The sequence below is a fragment of the Homo sapiens genome, chromosome 11 (genome assembly GCF_000001405.40).
Source record: "Homo sapiens chromosome 11, GRCh38.p14 Primary Assembly".
Lineage (NCBI taxonomy): Eukaryota > Metazoa > Chordata > Mammalia > Primates > Hominidae > Homo > Homo sapiens.
Window position 1 is genome coordinate 21,285,608 of NC_000011.10, and position 19,622 is coordinate 21,305,229.

Here is a 19,622-nt window from a genome sequence, read left to right on the forward strand (position 1 = left end):
AAGGGGATTCTTGAATTCTTCCAGCTGGACTCAAGAGTGTAGAGGTCAAAACCCCAGTTAACAGGCACTAGACCCACAACATTTTGCGAAACAGAGAACTATCGATTGTAAACTCTTTGGTCAGTGTTTCACAGTCTTTTACGGTTTACTTTCAATCTTTCAAAGAAAGAATGTGTGTATAAAACAAAACAAAAGAAAACAAAAAGCACTGAGCTAAATGTTTACTGTCACTTTATCCTATTTTATTTGTAGTATTTTTTAAAGTTATAGTTGGGAGACAAACTAAAATAACTTTATTGGTGCTTGGAAATTGTTACTTAATTAGGAAATTAAAAACACAATGACTGTAAAAACTTACAGTAGTTTTATCAGTAGGAAAGGCCTGTAGATAGAAATGAGACAGAGAAAAATAATGAATTCTACATTGTGGAAATGTGTGTCTCGCCTATTACCTTTGGATCTCTGCCTGGTTAATAGGTCACAAGTTAAAGACACTTAGACCATAGAAAGTTTCTTACAGTTTCCACCAGGCTCTGCCTTAATCATATTACCTTGGTCTAACCTTTCCTAATTGGGCATAAAGTCAGGGCCAGGATTTGGACAACTGAAAGCTAGTTTGAGAGGATTTAGTCTGAAAAGAAAGTGACTACCTGAAACCCTATCTAGAAGTCTTTCTTGAAGAATAAGGCAAACAGGAAAGAGTCTATGTATAAAATGACCCTGATAGTCACTTTACTGGCCATTAGACATGTCACTGTCCAGGGCTGCCACTAGCCCAAATGGTGCCCACCTCTGGGCTGATCTAGACGTGCACCAAAGGCATGTTCTTTTCAAGTGGAGCAAGGGGCGGATTTTAGCCAGATGGCCCCCTGCACCTCCAATGCCACGCTAACTGATCTTACTTTAACCCATACTATCCACTCGTACCACTCTTTTTTATGATGACAAGGATTTATTTATGGCACAATCAGCTTAACAAAAGACAGTGGCCCAGTTGTTGGCTTCTATTTAGCAATGGGGGTTTATGATACACTTCAGTTAAAATTTCTCTATCTGTTAAAGATGGTCATTTTCAGAATCCCATTGCAATTCTTGGACCAGACTGCTGCAGTGACACCTAGTACACCATAGTAAAATTTTTCATTTCCACTGTTAGATGCTCTCACTTAGATATGAACATCTCTAGGGTAAGCTCCACGTGTTTTCTTTCCTTGTCCTTTGTAGTCTGTAACATAATGGCTGGTACATAATGCATGGAATACATGTTTGTTGAATCAACCAAAATATGAGTGTTATGGTTGATACCGCTACACTTTTTTATCTGTAAAGTGTGATAACTGTACCTGCCTTATAGGGTTGTTGGAAAGACGGAGAAAATTCACGTAAAACCTGTGTTGTTGTGCCTATAAGTGCTTAGTGTATTTTAGAAATTATTATATTCCTTATTACACAGAATATACCATTCTAAAAGATAATTCTGAATAGAACTGAGTGAATTTTATTAATTCATTATAGATTTTTGGTTTGCGGCCAACTTTTAAATAGAAAAGCAAATCATATCTGCTGATTCATCAAGTCTCCTTATTCTAGCTCCTTTTTATTTCTTGAATCTGGCAACCCCTCTTTTTTTTCACCAACACCTTCTTCCTCATTAGCTTTTCTTATCATTGGTAACTTCCTAATTTCTCTTACTGCAAGTATAGCTTCCTAACTGATGTCTTGCCTGTAGTTTAGCCCTGTTCAATCTATTTTCACAATGCATCCAGCATGATCTTTCTGACAGGCAAAGAGATCATGTCCCTTTCTTACTTAAAACCTTTATTCAAAGGCTTCATTTTTTCTGTAAAAGAAAGGCAGTGGAGCATAGCATGAAAACCATCTAATGTTCTGGCCTCATTTTCCCTTCCTCAGGTTCACCATGTCTGTCCCCCCACCCTCATTCCAATATCAATGCAATGTGGCATTCCAACAAGACTATAACAGAATTTATTGTTAAAGGACCATCTATTCTCTCTAGATCAGGCCTTTGTATACAGTCTTGGTTCCTTTCTTCTTCATTAGATGAATTTCTCCTCATGCTTCAGGACTCAACTTAATCATCACCTTTTTTGGGGAGTCTTATCTTTTTACCCCTCTTCCCATTTTTTGCTGAGATTGAGGGGGTAACTCTCAGTGTCCCCTGCCACAGCTCTCTATATACACTATCTAGTATTTATTTCTCTGATTGTGATTACATGTTTTATCCCCACCATCCCTCGTTAACTTTACTGTACAATGCATCCCTTGGCAATAGGAGTGAAGTCATTCATCACTATAGCATCAGAACCTAGGATAGGGACAGGCTCTTAGTTCATACTCACTCTAAAGAAAAGAAGAGAATAGAAGGAAGGAAGAAAAGAAATAAGGGAAGGAAAGAAGGAAGGAAAGAAAGAAAAAATAAGGGAAGGAAGGAAAGAAGGAAATAAGGAAGGGAGAAGGAAAAAAGAGGGAAGGAAAGAGGAAGGAAGGAAGGGAAGGAATGAAAGGAAGGAAGGAAGGGAAGGAAAGAAAGGAAGGAAGGGCTTACTCCTAATGGCTTAGGAGTAGGGAACTGGAAGAGCTAATCTATTGCAAAATGCTCTTGTCTGACTTCAGTCTATGAAACTATCTTACAAAATTACTCCTCTCTAAAGAAGACTAAAGCCCTCAAGTCAGTAAAACAGTTGGTTGGCAGGCTGCCTCTGTTTCCTGAGAAAATGTCTGTACTGCATTTGTTGGATAATTTCATCTTAGCCTTTATCAGTTTACTGTGCTTTGTTTACAATTCTGGTGTTATAAAAAATGGCATCAACAAGTTGTCTGATTTTTCTCTAAATTACTCCTTCTCTTTACAGATTTGTTTTGGTTACTGGTCTTACAAATTACTCAGTCATTCAGATTTAATAGCTGACTGACATTCATCCCAACTCTGCCACACAGGAGCAGTGTGACATTGGATAAGTTGCTTAACCTCTCTGATTTCTAGTTGCTTATCTGTGCAATAAAGGTAAATGTGTACCTTCATGGGATTGTTGTCAAAATTAAGTAAGATTGTTTTGGTTGTCTATTGCTGTAAAACAAACTATCCAAACATTAGTGAGTTCGAATGACCAGCAATTATTTGTCATGATTATGTAGATTAGTCGGGGGGTTCTTCTTATCAGCAGTAGGATGGCTAAGAGCTCCAGAATCACCTCATTCACATGGCTGGCAGTTGCTACTAATGATTGTCAGTCAGGGGGCCTCCATTTTTCTCCACCTGGTTGTCGTATGTGGTATGTGGTATTTTGATCTCCTCACAGCAATGGCACCTGGGTTCTAAGAAGGAGTGTTCTAAGAAGTGAAGACCAAGGCTGTAGACCTCTTAAGGCTCAGACATGAAAGTTGCTTAATGCCCTTTCTACTATATTCTGTTGATCAAATTAGGCAATAATAGGGTAGACCAGATATAAGAATGGGGGAACAAATTCTGACTCTTGATGAGAGAATGACAGGGTCACATTACAAAGGGGCACATAGGTGAGGAGCACTATTGATGTGACCATTTTTGGAAACATGCTCTACCACCATGAAAATGTATTTAAAACTCTTGGGCAAGATGGCCCAATAAAAACAGCTCCAGTGTGTGGCTCCCAGCAAGATCAATGCAGAAGGCGGGTGATTTCTGCATTTCCAACTAAAATACCTGGCTCATCTCATTGGGACTGATTAGACAGTGGGTGCAGCCCACGGAGGGTGAGCCAAAGCAGGGTGGGGCGGTTCCTCACCTGGGAAGTGCAAGGGGTCAGGGAACTCCCTCCCCTAGCCAAGGGAAGCCATGAGGGACTGTGCCGTGAGGAACAGTGCATTCTGACCCAGATACTATGCTTTTCCCATGGTCTTCGCAACTTGCAGACCAGGAGATTCCCTTGGGTGCCTGTATCACCAGGCCCTGGGTTTCAAGCACAAAACTGGGTGGCAGTTTGGGCAGACAGGGAGCTAACTGAAGGAGTTTTTTTTCATACTCCAGTGGCACCTGGAATGCCAGCAAGACAGAACCATTCACTCTCCTGGAAAAGGCTGAAGCCAGGGAGCCAGGTGGTCTAGCTCATTGGATTCCACCCCTACGGAGCCCAAGAAGCTAAGATCCACTGCCAGCACAGCAGTCTGAAGTCAACCTGGAATGCTTGAGCTTGGTGGAGGGAGGGGCATCCGCCATTACTGAGGCTTGAGTAGGCAATTTTCCCCTCACAGTGTAAACAAAGCTGCCAGGAAGTTCAAACTGGGTGGAGCCTACCACAGCTCCGAAAAGCCACTTAGCCAGACTGCCTCTCTAGATTCCTCCTCTCTGGGAGTAGCATCTCTAAAAGAAAGGAAGCAGCCCCAGTCAGGGGTTTATAGATAAAATTCCCATCTCCCTCGGACATAGCACCTGGGGGAAGGGGCATCTGTGGGTGCAGCTTAAGCAGATTTAAATATTCCGGGCTGGACGCGGTGGCTCACGCCTGTAATCCCAGCACTTTGGGAGGCCGAGGTGGGCGGATCACGAGGTCAGGAGATCGAGACCATCCTGTCTAACACGGTGAAACCCCGTCTCTACTAAAAATACAAAAAATTAGCTGGGCGTGGTGGTGGGTGCCTGTAGTCCCAGCTACTTGGGAGGCTGAGGCAGGAGAATGGCGTGAACCCGGGAGGTGGAGCTTGCAGTGAGCCAAGATTGCGCCACCGCACTCCAGCCTGGGTGACAGAGCAAGACGCCATCTCAAAAAATAAATAAATAAATAAAATAAATAGATAAATAAATAAATAAATAAATAAATAAATAAATATTCCTTCCTGCTGGCTCTGAAGAGAGCAGTGGTTCTCCCAGCACAGTTCTCAACCTCTGCTAAGGGACAGACTGCCTCCTCAAGTGGGTCCCTGACCCCTGTGCCTCCAGACTGGGAGACACATCCCAGGAGGGGTTGAGAGACACCTCATACAGGAAAGCTCTGGCTGGCATATGGCAGGTGCCCCTCTGGGGCAAAGCTTCCAGAGGAAGGAACAGGCAACAGTCTTTGCTGTTCTGCAGCCTCTGCTGGTGATACCCAGGGAAACAGGGTCTGGAGTGGACCTTCAGCAAACTCCAGCAGACCTGCTGCAGAGGGGCCTGACTGTTACAAGGAAAACTAACAGAAAGGAATAGCATCAACATCAACAAAAAGGACATCCACACAGAAACCCCATCCGAAGATCACCAACATAAAAAACCAAAGGTAGATAAATCCATGAAGATGAGGAAAAACCAGTGCAAAAAGGCTGAAAATTCCAAAAACAAGAATGCCTCTTCTCCCCCAAAGCATCACAGCTCCTCTCCAGTAAGGGAACGAAACTGGACAGAGAATGAGTTTCATGAATTGACAGAAGTATTCTTCAGAAGGTGGGTAACAGCAAACTCTCTGAGCTAAAGGAGCATGTTCTAACCCAAAGCAAGGAAGCTAAGAACATTGAAAAATGGCTAGAGGAATTGCTAACCAGAATAACCAGTTCAGAGAAGAACATAAATGACCTGATGGAGCTGAAGAACATAGCAGGAGAACTTTGTGAAGCACACACAAGTATCAATAGCCGAATTGATCAAGTGGAAGACAGGATATCATTATTAACGATATAATGAAATTAAGGCAGAAACAAGTTTTTTGAAACCAATGAGAGCAAAGACACAACGTACCAGAATCTCTGGGACACAGCTAAAGCAGTGTTTAGAGGGAAATTTATAGCACTAAATGCCCATGGAAGAAAGCAGAATAGATCAATAATAAGTTCTGAAATTGAGATGATAATTAATAGACTACCAGCCAGAAAAAGCCCAAGACTAGATAGATTCACAGCCCAGTTCTACCATAGGGACAAAGAGGAGTTAGTACCATTCCTTCTGAAACTTTTCCAAACAATAGAAAAATAGGAACTCCTCCCTAACTCATTTTATGGGGCCAGCATCATCCTGATACCAAAACCTGGCAGAGATACAACAACAAAAAAAGAATATTTCATGCCAGTATTCCCTGATGAACATCAGTGCAGAAATCCTCAGTAAAATACTGGCAAACCAAATCCAGCAGCACATCAAAAAGTTTATCCACCAAGATCAAGTCAGCTTCATCCCTGGGATGCAAGCCTGGTTCAACATACACAAATCAAAAAACGTAACCCATCAGATAAACAGAACTGATGATAAAAACCACATGATTATCTCAATAGATGCAGAAAAGGCCTTTGACAAAACTCAACACCCCTTCATGCTAAAAACTCTCAATAAACTAGGTATTGATGGAACGTGTCTCAAAATAATAAGAGCTATTTATGACAAACCCACAGCCAATATCATACCGAATGGGTAAAAGCCGGAAGCATTCCCTTTGAAAACCACACAGGACAAGGATGCCCTCTCTCAACATTCCTATTCAACACAGTATTGGAAGTTCTGGCCAGGGCAATGAGGCAAGAGAAAGAAATAAAGTGTATTCAAATAGAAAGAGAGGAAGTCAAATTGTCTCTGTTTGCAGATGACATGATTGTATATTTAGAACACCCTATCCTGTCAGCCCAAAATCTCCTTAACCTACCTGATAATCAGCTTCAGCAAAGTCTCAGGATAGAAAATCAATGTGCAAAAATCACAAGCATTACTATACACCAGTAATAGACAAACAGTGCAAAATCATGAGTCAACTCCTATTCACAATTGCTACCAAGAGAATAAAATACCTAGGAATACAACTTATGAGGGATGTGAAGGACCTCTTCCAGGAGAACTACAAACTACTGCTCAAAGAAATAAGAGAGGACACAAACAAATGCAAAAACATTCCATGCTCATGGATAGGAAGAATCAGTATCGTGAAAATGGCCATACTGCCTAAAGTAATTTATAGATTCAATGCTCTCCCCATAAAGCTACCATTGACTTTCTTCACAGAGTTAGAAAAAAACAAATTTAAATTTTATATGGAACCAAAAAGGAGCCTGCATAGACAAGACAATCCTAAGCAAAAAGAACAAAGCTGGAGGCATCATGGTACCTGACTTCAAACTATACTGCAAGCCTACAGTAACCAAAACATCATGGTACTGATACCAAAACAGATATATAGACCAATGGAACAGAACAGAGGCCTCAGAAATGCTCATAATGCTACACATCTACAACCATCTGATTTTTGACAAACCTGACATAAGCCATGGGGAAAGGATTCCCTATTTAATAAATGCTATTGGGAAAACTGGCTAGCCATATGCAGAAAACTGAAACTGGACCCCTTCCTTACACCTTATACAAAAATTAAGATGGATTAAAGGCTTAAATATAAGACCTAAAACCATAAAAACCCTAGAAGAAAACCTAGGCAATACCATTCAGGACATAGGCATGGGCAAAGTCTTCATGACTCAAACACCAAAAACAATGGCAACAAAAGCCCAAATAGACAAATGGGATCTAAATAAACTGAAGAGCTTCTGCACAGCATAAGAAACTATCATCGGAGTGAACAGGCAACCTACAGAATGGGAGAAAATTTTTGCAATCTATCCATCTGACAAAGGGCTAATATCCAGAATCTACAAGGAACTTAAACAAATTTACAAGAAAAAAAACAAACAACAAAAAACCCCATCAAAAAGTGGGTGAAGGATATCAACAGACACTTCTCAAAAGAAGACATGCAGCTAACAAACATATGAAAAAAACTCATCATCACTGGTCATTAGAGAAATACAAATCAAGATCACAGTGAGATACTATCTCATGCCAGTTACAATGACGATCATTAAAAAGTCAGGAGACAACAGATGCTGGAGAGGATGTGGAGAAATAGGAATGCTTTTACACTGTTGGTGGGAGTGTAAACTAGTTCAACCATTGTGGAAGACAGTGTGGTGATTCCTCAAGGATCTAGAACCAGAAATACCATTTGACCCAGCAATGCCATTACTGGGTATATACTTAAAGGTTTGTAAGTCATTCTACTATAAAGACACATGCACATGTGTGTTTATTGCAGCACTGTCCACAATAGCAAAGACTTGGAGCCAACCCAACTGTGCATCAGTGATAGACTGGATAAAGAAAATGTGGCACATACACACCATGGAATACTATGCAGCCATGAAAAAGATGGGTTCATGTCCTTTGCCAGGACATGCATAAAGCTGGAAACCATAATTCTCAGCAAACTAACACAAGAACAGAAAACCAAACACCACATGATCTCACTCATAATTGGAAGTTGAACAATGAAAACACATGGAAACAGGGAGGGCAACATTACACACTGAAGCTTCTTGGAGAGTGGGGGACTAGGGGAGGGATAGCAATAGGAGAAATAACTAATGTAGATGAGTTGATGAGTGCAGCAAACCACTATTCCACGTGTATACTTATGTAACAAACTGGTATGTTCTGCACATGTATCCTAGCACTTAAAGTATAATTTAAAAAAGTAATAAAATGAAGTATATAAAAATGGCAAAAAACTGTTAACACAGTGCCAGTCACATGGGCATTGCTTAATCAGAGGCAACTGTTATCAGCCTTGACTGTTTCCCTCCTACATCTTTAGCTTCACTACCTGCCACTTCTGTCCCCATAGTGTACCCTTTGTTGGTTCCCTTCATTCATCTAGTTTATTCTGTGCTTATACCATCTCAAGGACTATTTAAAAAGTTGTCGAACTAGTCTCAAATTTGAACTTCTTTATTTCACATTTTGTCTTGTATTAATTGGACATCTACTTGAGTTTAGCCTTAATGAATCATATGTACCTTGAGAGTAGGAAACATATTCAATCAACATTCTGGACCTTGTATTACCCAGCACAGTGCCTTACATATGGTTGGTGCAATCTGGTAATTAATTGCATGGCAAATTGGATTGAAGATAATAGTGATTATAGTTATTATGCATTATTGAGTTTATGATGTCATATGTTGTTCTACATGATTTGTATTTATTTATTTTCGTATCGACCTAATCTGATGATTATTATTGTAATCCTGATTTTATGGTTGAGAAAACTGAGGGACAAAGGTGTTAAGAAATTTACCTGAGGTCACACAACTAACAGGAGTTGAGGCCACCTTTAAAAGTCAAAGGGTTTGGCTCTAAAACCCAAGGATTTAAATGGTCATGAGTGTTTGTACATTGTGAATTTTCACACATTTATGTGAAAGTGGACTAGGTTTCAGCGACAGATCAATATCTGCTTTTGAAAAAAATACTATAGACTCACAGAATTTAAGAAATGTAAAGAAAGCTCAGTTTTGCAAAAGCTGAAGCCCAAGAAGGCAAAGTCAGTTGCCTCAATCTCACAACTACTACATAGCTGAGACAGAATGAGAATCCACATCTTCTGATTTCAGATGAAGTTTTCGTTCTGTTATTCCACAGCTATCTCCTGATGTGACCTGTAGGAAATGCCATTTCTGACTTTTAAAAATACTTACCATATGTCAGGTATGGTTGTAATTGGTTTACAAATATTAATAAATTTAATTCTCACATTCACCCATTATGTTGATAAAGAACCTGAAGCACAGACCAGCTCACTGACTTGCTCAAGGTCAATTACAGATAGTAAGTAGGGAACCAGGATTAAAACCCAGCCCAGGGCACTGGAGTATAACCATACTACTAAAGCTATCTCTCAAAATGTTGGATTAACTAGATATTTGTGAACGAAAAAGGAAGACTATCCAGACAAACGAGATCATTTGGTACCAGAACCAAGCATCAAATATTGAAGACAGATGACATTTCAAGAATGGTAAATCAAATAGTCAACTTATTTCCTTAGAGTAATGACAGACAAAAAGAGAGAACACTTAAAACAGGAATGATGTGCTATTGAAACAAAAGAATTGCTAAAATAATGATATGGAGTAGACACAAAGAATTTTGCAAGTAAGAAGAGGATTTGTAAGAAATGTAGCCAGTTCTGGGTCATTACAGCAGTTGCGAAAAGGTGACATCACTAAAGGCTCAGTTGGGAATACGCATAATTTCTGCAGGAAGCTGATTAAGGAGCTAGACATTTTTTGAAGGGAGGCACTTGGTCCTTGGAGTTTCCCTGACAACTTGCATAACATTGGAACTCAGTGTGGTAAATTGTTCTTCACATCAAAATGAATTTGCTTACACTGATATGGGAAGCTACTGTGATTGCTCCAGGAAATGCAAGGAAAAGAGAAAAGAGACATATTTGAAGTGGAAAAAAATGACTTAACTTCACAAAGGCAGTTAAAAAATTGGAATGTCTTGTTACCAATTTTGCAAATACTTAAAAACCAATTCAGCCTGAGTAAAAACAGTCTACTGATGAAGACTCTCATATGGGCTCTGATCAGTTTAAGCATCTGGTTTGCTACAGTTAATGCCAAATTTAGTGCATACACAATAGATGTAAATGAATAAATGTTGCCACAAAAGAGAGAGAAAATATTGTATATGTCTAAACACAAGGTTACTACTTTTTTCCTTTCTATCCCTCATAAAAAGGAAATGCCTTAAATTCAAATCCTTATAAATGTTCTCATAATACCGGGTATTATCCCAGTTCTGTTATTTTGAACACAAGAAACTATTTTGGGGAGAAAAAATGACATTATCTATGCCAGCTTATGATTTTAATTGAAATTATCTGGAGAATAAATTTTAAAAAAAGACCAAAAAACCCCCTCTCAACAAATAATTAGTTATTATTCCTGGGAGCGTAGTCTCACAATTGCAAATATTGAATGTCATTGTTTAATTAGCTTGATTGTGATGACAATTCTGCATTATATGTATATATATATATCTCTAATCATCAAGTTGTATACTTTAAATATATGGAATTTAAAATTATCAATTATACTTCAGTAAATCTTGAAAAAATACAAATGTAAATACTGATAACCATACAAAACACTTAATAACACAGTTCAGTGTTTGGTTACATTGTAAAGATCACAAATACAGACCTATTAGACAAATGGGGAAGGAAGAAGCGCTGATACTATGCAGTTGGATTCGTGTGACTTTGCTGGAAAAGGCATCAAATACAGATTCAAAAAGTGCTTTATCTCAAACAACTTAGACAGATGGAATGGTGATGAATTTGGAAAATCTGAGAGAACTTGAAAAGTGGCTCTGGGTTGGGGAAATCCTTTAGGTCAAGATTCATGGGAAGAAATTAAATAAAATTATTTAATATTTTTATAGTAAAGAAAAGATAATATTTCTATACTAATATATAATATAGTCCATGAAATGATATACTTAATATAGCTATGCCTAATAACTGAACCCATAAATCAAATATTATACAGATATTTATTTAATATATTCCTTAAAGTTATTCAAGTTGGTCTAGAATTTTTTTTCATTCTTTAGATGTTGTCATTAATTTAAAAAAATAATTATTTTAATTATATTTGGAATTTATTTCTATGTAGGCATTTACATTTTCTCCTATCTGCAGCATTCTGTGGGAAAAGGGATCAAAGGAGATTTTGAAGTTATTGCAAAGAAATCTATAATAGCAAAGGAAGAAGCCAGGGTTTCTGGACATATCGATAGTATTATGGAAAGAAATGCAAAGGAATTTAAGACAAGATAGGCTACATTCAGGGTGATATGGTCATAGACAAGGAATTTCAAATGAAGTTATGTTTAACTACTTAAGGCTGGTACTAGAGCACACCTATGGTACTTCATCTAGTTTTGATATTTTAAATTTATAAAACATGTAATTTCTGTTGAAGGTGTACAGTGTCACTTTATGATAAGCTTCAGAAAAAGATGTTGAAAAACCTCATGATTAAATGAACTGTTTTCTCCAAGGTAAGAAAAGCCTCTGGATTCATCCTTTTCCAGTGTGCAGGTTGTGATAGAATTAAGTTATTTTGATCTGTTTTATTTTTACCAGCAGCAAGATCTGTGTATACTCAGTAACCTCATCCATTCATTCTTTGACTCCTTTACTTGTCTCTCAATGTTCTTTGTCTTCCATTGAATACTTGCTTTGAGCCATAAACTGTGCAAGCACTGAGACTGCAGCTCTGAAAATTGTTGTGCTTTCTCTCAAGGAGCCCACAGGGCTGAGAGAATCAACAATAATCAGGCAATTATAATGGAGCATAATAAGTATTGTAATGGAGGTATAAGCAGGATCTATGAGAGGACAGAGGCGGGGAAGGGAAATCATAGTAACCTCTCCAGAGTAACTCCTGTCTCAGATGAGCCTTGACAAAGTTTAGGATGAGGGACAGAAGGAGGGAGGGAGTAGAGAAAGAGAAAGAGAGAGGAGAGAAGAGGAGAGCAAAATAGGGCTGAGAGGGCTGCCATCACCTGCCCATTGCTTGACATGCAAACCTTTTACTTTTTCCTCCATCATTTTTTATTTTGTACCCTATAATTATTGTTGAACTCATTTTACCCCAAAAAGTCTGCCCTGATTATGTTTTTAATCTATATGGAAAGATTTTCAAGATTTAAGGTGAACAGCTGATTTTTCTATGAAATGTTTTTGTTTCAATGATACTCTTTACATTGGTTAATTAACCTGATTCAAAATCTCACTGTGGTTGGTTCTAATTCTTGTGATTAGGATTTATTATTTTCCTTAAGCTAGTTCCCAGCACCATCAGTAGCTCTGCAAACCTTTTCTATTCTTTGTCATGATTCTATCTCAATGTCAGTTTCTCTGAGCTCATGTTTTATCAATTTGTTATTTTCAGTTCACTTCTTATTTATTTCTTCTCTTCTCAGATGTCTCCTTAGTAGTGAAATGGATCTCATCTTCCCTTCTTTGGTGCTCAGCTCCAGAGTGAGCTCACCTCTCTGACACCGTTTTGATCTCTTACTCTTTCTGGAAGTAGTAGGTCTGAGAATTGATGTGCTTTCTTTCAAGGAGCCTGCAGGAGTTTCTGCTGAAATCTTATCCATCACCCTCCTTAGTCAGCCTTCCTAGAGCAGGTGGCATAATCTACTCTTGCCAAGAGCTCTGAGAAGCCACCAATAGGCCAGTTTCTGCCCAGGGTCTATGGTAATTCCCATTACCACTTTTCTGCAGTAGTAGCAGGATGTATACCATCTGGACCATTCGGTGCCATCAGGAAATGGTCAAAATATTTGCATGCCCCTCAGGTTCAAGTAAATAAACAGCAGCAGCAGCAGCAACAACAACATTTCCAGTGAAAATGACCCTGTCACTCTTCTACCTGATACTTTCCTCATCTTTTCCCAAGAAATCACCTTTCCCCCGAAAAAAGATTATCTGCTCTCCATCTTCTCTCTCCTGTGAGGCTATTTTGTATTTGTCTAGAGCACTCCAGAAGTGGGCAACTGAAGTTACTAGCATTACTTGACCATGGTTATAGTTTTTATACAGATTGGCAGATGCTTTTTACAGTCTGTGGCTGGATTTCATTGGAAAAAGCTTAAAATTCACAGGAGGAGGAAAGTACTTCTCTCCCAGGATCCCCACTGAGTTGATAACAGTCTATGGGAAGTCATCTATTTAAACAGAAATAAACATGCCTTGGGATGCCAGGAGACTATTTTCAGTTTTATTAAGCTATTTTCAGCTTTATTAAGAAATCTGTGTTTAATTTTTGCAGCATTTTCAGTCCTGTTCATTTAGCTTTTCTCTGTGTGTGGATCAATTAGATCACTTGATGAGAATGCAGACATCGCATTCTGCTCCTTCCATTGCATTCTGCTCCTTCCAGGATCACAGTACATTTGGAGGAGAGTAAAGAACCTGGAACACCTTCAATCACCCAGCCAGAAACTTGTGCTTAATTGACTTTTCATGGGAAAAAGTAGTCCTGATTAGATATTGCCTGTGTCTGGGTCCTGGGAAATTTCAACATTTTATTGTCTTATATGTGTGTGTGTGTGTGTGTGTGTGTGTGTGTGTGTGTGTGTGTGTGTGTGTGTTTATTTTTTGGACCCATATAAATTGGTAGATTGGTCACCTGTAATAAGTTAGACACTGTTTTAGGTCAGGGTGAGCAATCTGTGCATATGTAAAGGGTCAGATAGTAAACATTTTAGGCACTGTAGACTTTATGGTCTTCATCGCAACTATTTAACTTTGACATCTGAAAGCAATAGGAGCCATAGATAATATGTAGACTAATAAGTGGCTGTCCTCTAAGAAGACTTTATTTATGGACATTGTAATTTATATTTTGAATACTTTTATATAACATGTAATATTTTCTTTAATTTGTTTTTCAACTATACAAAAATATGAGCCATCATTTGCTCCCATGCCATACTAAATAAGCCTGCAGGCCATAATTGGTGAACCTCTGCTATAGGCAAAGCAGCTTAAGTAATAAACAGGACAGAAACCCCGACCTCTTGTGACTTTCGTAGAGAAATTAGACAATGATCACGTAAACACACAAATAATGAATATTATTTCAAATTCTAAGTGCTAGGAAGAAAGGAAAACAAAACAAAACAAAACAGCTGTTGTGACTGAAAACCCCTGGTGGTAAGAGGACTGAGGGCATGGGCTGCATTAGCTGCTTAGAGAAGACTTCTCTAAGATAGCATCTGAGGTGTTCTCTGAATGATGCCAGGGAGACATGTGAATGTTGAAGGAACAGCAAAGGCAAAGCTGTGAGTCAGGGATGAGCTCAGGATGTTTAAAGAAGCAAGAATACTTTTCTGGCTTGAGAGAATATTACAGAGGAGAAGGAGGAAGGTAATGAAATGAAAAAGGAAGGTAGGGACAAGTGAGGTAGGACCTGGAGGCCAGAAAAAGGGCTTTAGGTTTATTCACATTTCTGGGCTAGGACATGGGTTTTTTAATAAGCTGAAGAGTGATGAGAAGTGGTTTATACCTTTAGACAGATCACTTTGGCTGCTGTGTGGATGAGGGACCATCATTGGAAAATGAGAGTAGAGGTTAGGAGGAGGGTACTCAGGAGGCTATAGTGGGCTCTAGCAGTCCAAAATAGAGGCTTTTCCATTTTCTCTTCTTCTAACACTTTTCTCATGTGTGAGTCTGGTAGAAGCTTGGGGGAAGGTGAGAAATAATGACACAATGCAGTTCAGGTTGGACTACTGAATGAGATTCGCACCAATAACATTTTCAAATTAACTCCATATTATTTCTTTTTTTAATTATTATACTTTAAGCTCTAGGGTACACGGGCACAACGTGCAGGTTGGTTACATATGTATACATGTCCCATGTTGGCATGCTGTACCCATTAACTTGTCTTTACATTAGGTATATCTCCTAATGCTATCCCTCTCCCCACCCCACAACAGGCCCCAATGTGTGATGTTCCCCATCCTGTGTCCAAGTGTTCTCATTGTTCAATTCCCACCTATGAGTGAGAACATGCAGTGTTTGGTTTTCTGTCCTTGCGATAGTTTGCTGAGAATGATGGTTTCCAGCTTCATCCACGTCCCCACAAAGAACATGAACTCATCTTTTTTATGACTGCATATTATTCCATGGTGTATATGTGCCACATTTTCTTAATCCAGTCTGTCATTGATGGACATTTGAGTTGGTTCCAAGTCTTTGCTATTGTGAATAGTGCCACAATAAACATACGTGTGCATGTGTCTTTATAGCAGCATGATTTATAATCCTTTGGGTATATACCCAGTAATGGGATGGCTGGGTCAAATGGTATTTCTAGTTTTAGATCCTTGAGGAATCGCCACACTGTCTTCCACAATGGTTGAACTAGTTTACAGTCCCACCAACAGTGTAAAAGCATTCCTATTTCTCCACATCCTCTCCAGCACCTATTGTTTCAGGACTTTTTAATGATCGCCATTCTAACTGGCATGCAATGGTATCTCATTGTGGTTTTCATTTTCATTTCTCTGATGACCAGTGATGATGAGCATTTTTTCATGTGTCTTTTGGCTGCACAAATGTCTTCTTTTGAGAAGTGTCTGTTCATATCCTTTGCCCACTTTTTGATGGGGTTATTTGATTTTTTCTTGTAAATTTGCTTAAGTTCTTGGTAGTTTCTGGATATTATCCCTTTGTCAGATGGGTAGATTGTAAAAATTTTCTCCCATTCTGTAGGTTAACCATTCACTCTGATGGTAGTTTCTTTTGCTGTGCAGAAGCTCTTTAGTTTAATTAGATCCCATTTGTCAAATTTTGCTTTTGTACAAAAGCCAACAGAAGGCAACAAAACTCCATATTATTTCTAATGCTCACAATGATAGCTAAGGATTTGGGGGATATTTAATAATGTAGCATTATTTCTTTTAATCCTCACAGCAATTCTGTAAGGCAGGTGTCATTATTTACTCCATCAATGAAGAAATTGAGGTACTAATATGTTCTGCAATAGGTGAAGATATCTCAAAACTGGCAAGTGGCAGAGGCAGTATAGGTTCCATGCTTGGCTCTTAAGCCCATGATCTGTTCACTTGCTCATCTTCTCCTCTGTTTTAGTTATCTACTGCTACATATAAAACCAACCCAAAGTGTTGTGGCTTTAAACAACAAAAATTTATGATTTCTCATGATTCGTGGGTTGACCAGGCTCAGCTGGGTGGTTCTTCTGTTCCATATGTTGTTGACTGGAATTATATGTGAGGTTGCAGTCAGATAGAAGCCCATCACAGCCTGAGGCCTCCCAGATGCCTTCACTGTCATGGCTAGTAGTTGGTACTACTTGGCTGAGGTGTCTCTTGTTTTCCTCCATGTGACTTCTAAACCACCATTATGTTAGACAGAATTTCTTACTGAATGATAGATGGATTCTGACAAGGAAGCTTCCAGAAAACCATGTTCTAATGTGCAAATGGTTATCAAGCTCAGCATGAATTACATTTGATGATGTTATTACCTCAGAGTAATTCATATGGCCAGTTATGAAATTAAACTTAAAAAAGAATCTACATGAAAGGTGGGCTCATTTATGGAACCAACCCATACCTATAATATTATTATTTTGGCTTCTGCCTTTAGATAGAAATGTAGGGGAATGGTTTCCTCTTTTGTAGAATATCAGGGCCCTCTTCTCAGTAATTAAAGATAGACTAAGGCACCAGATATTTATTAACTCATGTGCTGATTAGACATTTGTTGGTTTTTTTCCTGTGAGTGAAACACTGCTCTAGGTTCTGTGGGAGAAAACAAAAAGGAGAATGGGGGCTAGGCACAGTGATTCATGCCTGGAATTTCAGCATTTTGGAAGGCCTAGGTGGGAGGATCACTTGATGTGAGGAGTTTGAGATCAGCCTGGGCAGTATAGTGAGACCCTATCTCTACAAAAAAATTAAAAAAAAAAATAGCTTGGCATGGCAGCACATGCCTGTGGTCCTAGGAACTCAAGAGACTGAAGCGGGAGGATCACTGGGGCCCTGGTATTTGAGAATAGAGCAAGCCATGATCATGCTGCTTCATGCCAACCTGGGCACAAGAGCAAGACCCCATATCTCTCTTTTGCTCTATATCTATATCTATATCTATATCTATATCTATATCTATATCTATCTTCTGTCTATCTATACACATACATACATATATAGATAGATAAATAGAAACAAATAAATAACAGTGTAAGACATGGGCCGTTCCCTCAAGGTGCTTAGTGTCTAGGAGAAAATATGCTACCAGCTGGTTATCTAAAACATATGAATGCATGTTTGTAGATAAAATGTATACTTTAAGATATATTGCAAATTGTTTTTTTAGAAGGCTGATGTTTTTCAAAAGAAGACATACAAATTGCTAACAGGTATGTGAAAAAATGGTCACCACTAATCATCAGAGAAATGCAAATTATAACCACAATGAGATATTATCTTACCCTAGTCAGAATTGCTATTATTAAAAAGTCAAAAAGCCTAATGGGTTTCCATCTGACTGTAGCCTTATGTATGATTCCCTCTCCATGAGGATGTGGAGAAAATATAACTCTTATGCACTGTTAGTGGGAATGTAAATTAGTACAACCTCTATAGAAAACAGCGTGGAGATTTCTCAAAGATCTAAAACTAGAACTACCATTCTATTCAGCAATCTCACTTCTGCGTAGTTACTCAAAGGAAAAGAAATCAATATACCAAAAAGATACATGCACTTGTATGTTTATCACAGCACTATTCACGATAGCAAAGTTGTGGAATCAACCTAAGCGTCCATCACTCAGGTTGAAACTATAAGAAAACAGAAACATGTTTCTTACAGTTTAGGAGGCTGGGAAACCCAGGATCAAGGTGCTGGAGAAAGCTTGATCTCTGCCTCCAAGGTGGTGCCTCATTGCTGAGTCCACTGGAGGGGATAATCACTGCGTCCTCACATGGTGGAAGGCAAAAGGGCAAAAGAGTCCTCTCTTTAACCTTGAGCCCTTTTATAAGTGTGCTAATCCTATTCATGGGGCAGAATTAATCACCTCCCAGTGGCCACTCCTCTTAATACTCTTGCACTGGGGATTAATTTGCAACATGAATTTCGGGGAAACCATCATTCAAACCATTTTGAATGGTCACATGCTCATTTAATTTTAATTTCTAAGCAGAACTTACTGATCATGGTTATAATACAAGTGTCGGGTATTCTAATGAGATACAAAGCCAAAGAAAAACCACCATGCCATTTAACATGTACTTAGACTATTCCACACACTGTCTAAATGCGTCCTATGTATTATTTCCTTTTATCTCTGTAGATGCCTTTGTATATGTACTGTAATTATCTTCATTACCTAGATAACAAAGTCTTAGGAATTGTTACTTTCTCAGGAGTCAGAGACAGGGCTTGAACCCTGGTCCCTTTGACTCCGAAGTCTATTGTCTCTACCACTGTGTGACACAGAAGTGATGCAGTGGGGAAAGGATTGCAGTGGGAAAAGGATTGGAATAGTGTTCAGGACACTTGAGTTCCAGTCCTTAGGGCTGAACCAACTAATATGTTATCCTGTACAAATCAGCTTCTTTTGTCTGTTTTTTTTTTTCTCTCTCTCTCCTTTAAAGCATAGGAGTCTACAGCCTACATTTCTATGGTAATTTAGAGCTTATATTTTCCTGACAGCTTACATTGTAAATCTTCTGCACTCCTATTTTGTCTTGCCCTGTTGTATTTTTTTAAAGAGTATATATCACCTAATATTCTGTATCATCGACTTAATTATTCTATATTGTTTCTTCCATTTCCCCTGCAGTAGGGTGCAAATACCAGTGCCACCAAAATTTCCAGGCACATGGGAGACTCCTAATAAATAATATGATGCACACTTTTTAAAGGAAGATGGGAGTGGGAGGAGAAGATAGGAAGTAAGGATAGAAAATATGATGTAACAAGAAACAAGAAGACATTGGTGTACTGGTATTAGAATGATTTTTATTTCTGTGGGGAAACAATAAAAGAAGATGGGACTGTAGGCAGGATGCACAATTAAGAGGGTCTTCCATGTTATATGAAAGAGTCCAGATTTTGTTAGGTGATAGAAAGCTAGTTTTATCTCCAGGACTTGTTAGTGGACCAAAATTCTAGGAGTGCAATGGTTGATTCTAAGAAACAACCCTTGAGGCTTAATTGTATTTGAAAGTGTCATTTAACTTTATGCTCAAATGTATGGTCAATCTTTCTTGGGAAATGACAAGA

At 38.7% G+C, this 19,622-nt stretch overlaps 1 protein-coding gene across 4 annotated transcripts in view, besides 1 other annotated feature; it reads left to right on the top strand.

Annotated features, from left to right (window-relative positions):
- The window catches only part of NELL1 (neural EGFL like 1), a 906,136-nt gene that overhangs the window by 616,057 nt on the left and 270,457 nt on the right, over positions 1-19,622 (top strand). The gene's annotated exons all lie outside the window — the stretch shown is intronic.
- Positions 3,962-4,461: an enhancer, noted in NCBI's record as "H3K27ac hESC enhancer chr11:21311115-21311614 (GRCh37/hg19 assembly coordinates)". NCBI's record gives its function as "activates a minimal SCP1, AML or CMV promoter by ChIP-STARR-seq in naive H9 embryonic stem cells {active_cell/tissue: H9 hESC(naive)}" and the evidence as "EXISTENCE:reporter gene assay evidence [ECO:0000049][PMID:30033119]".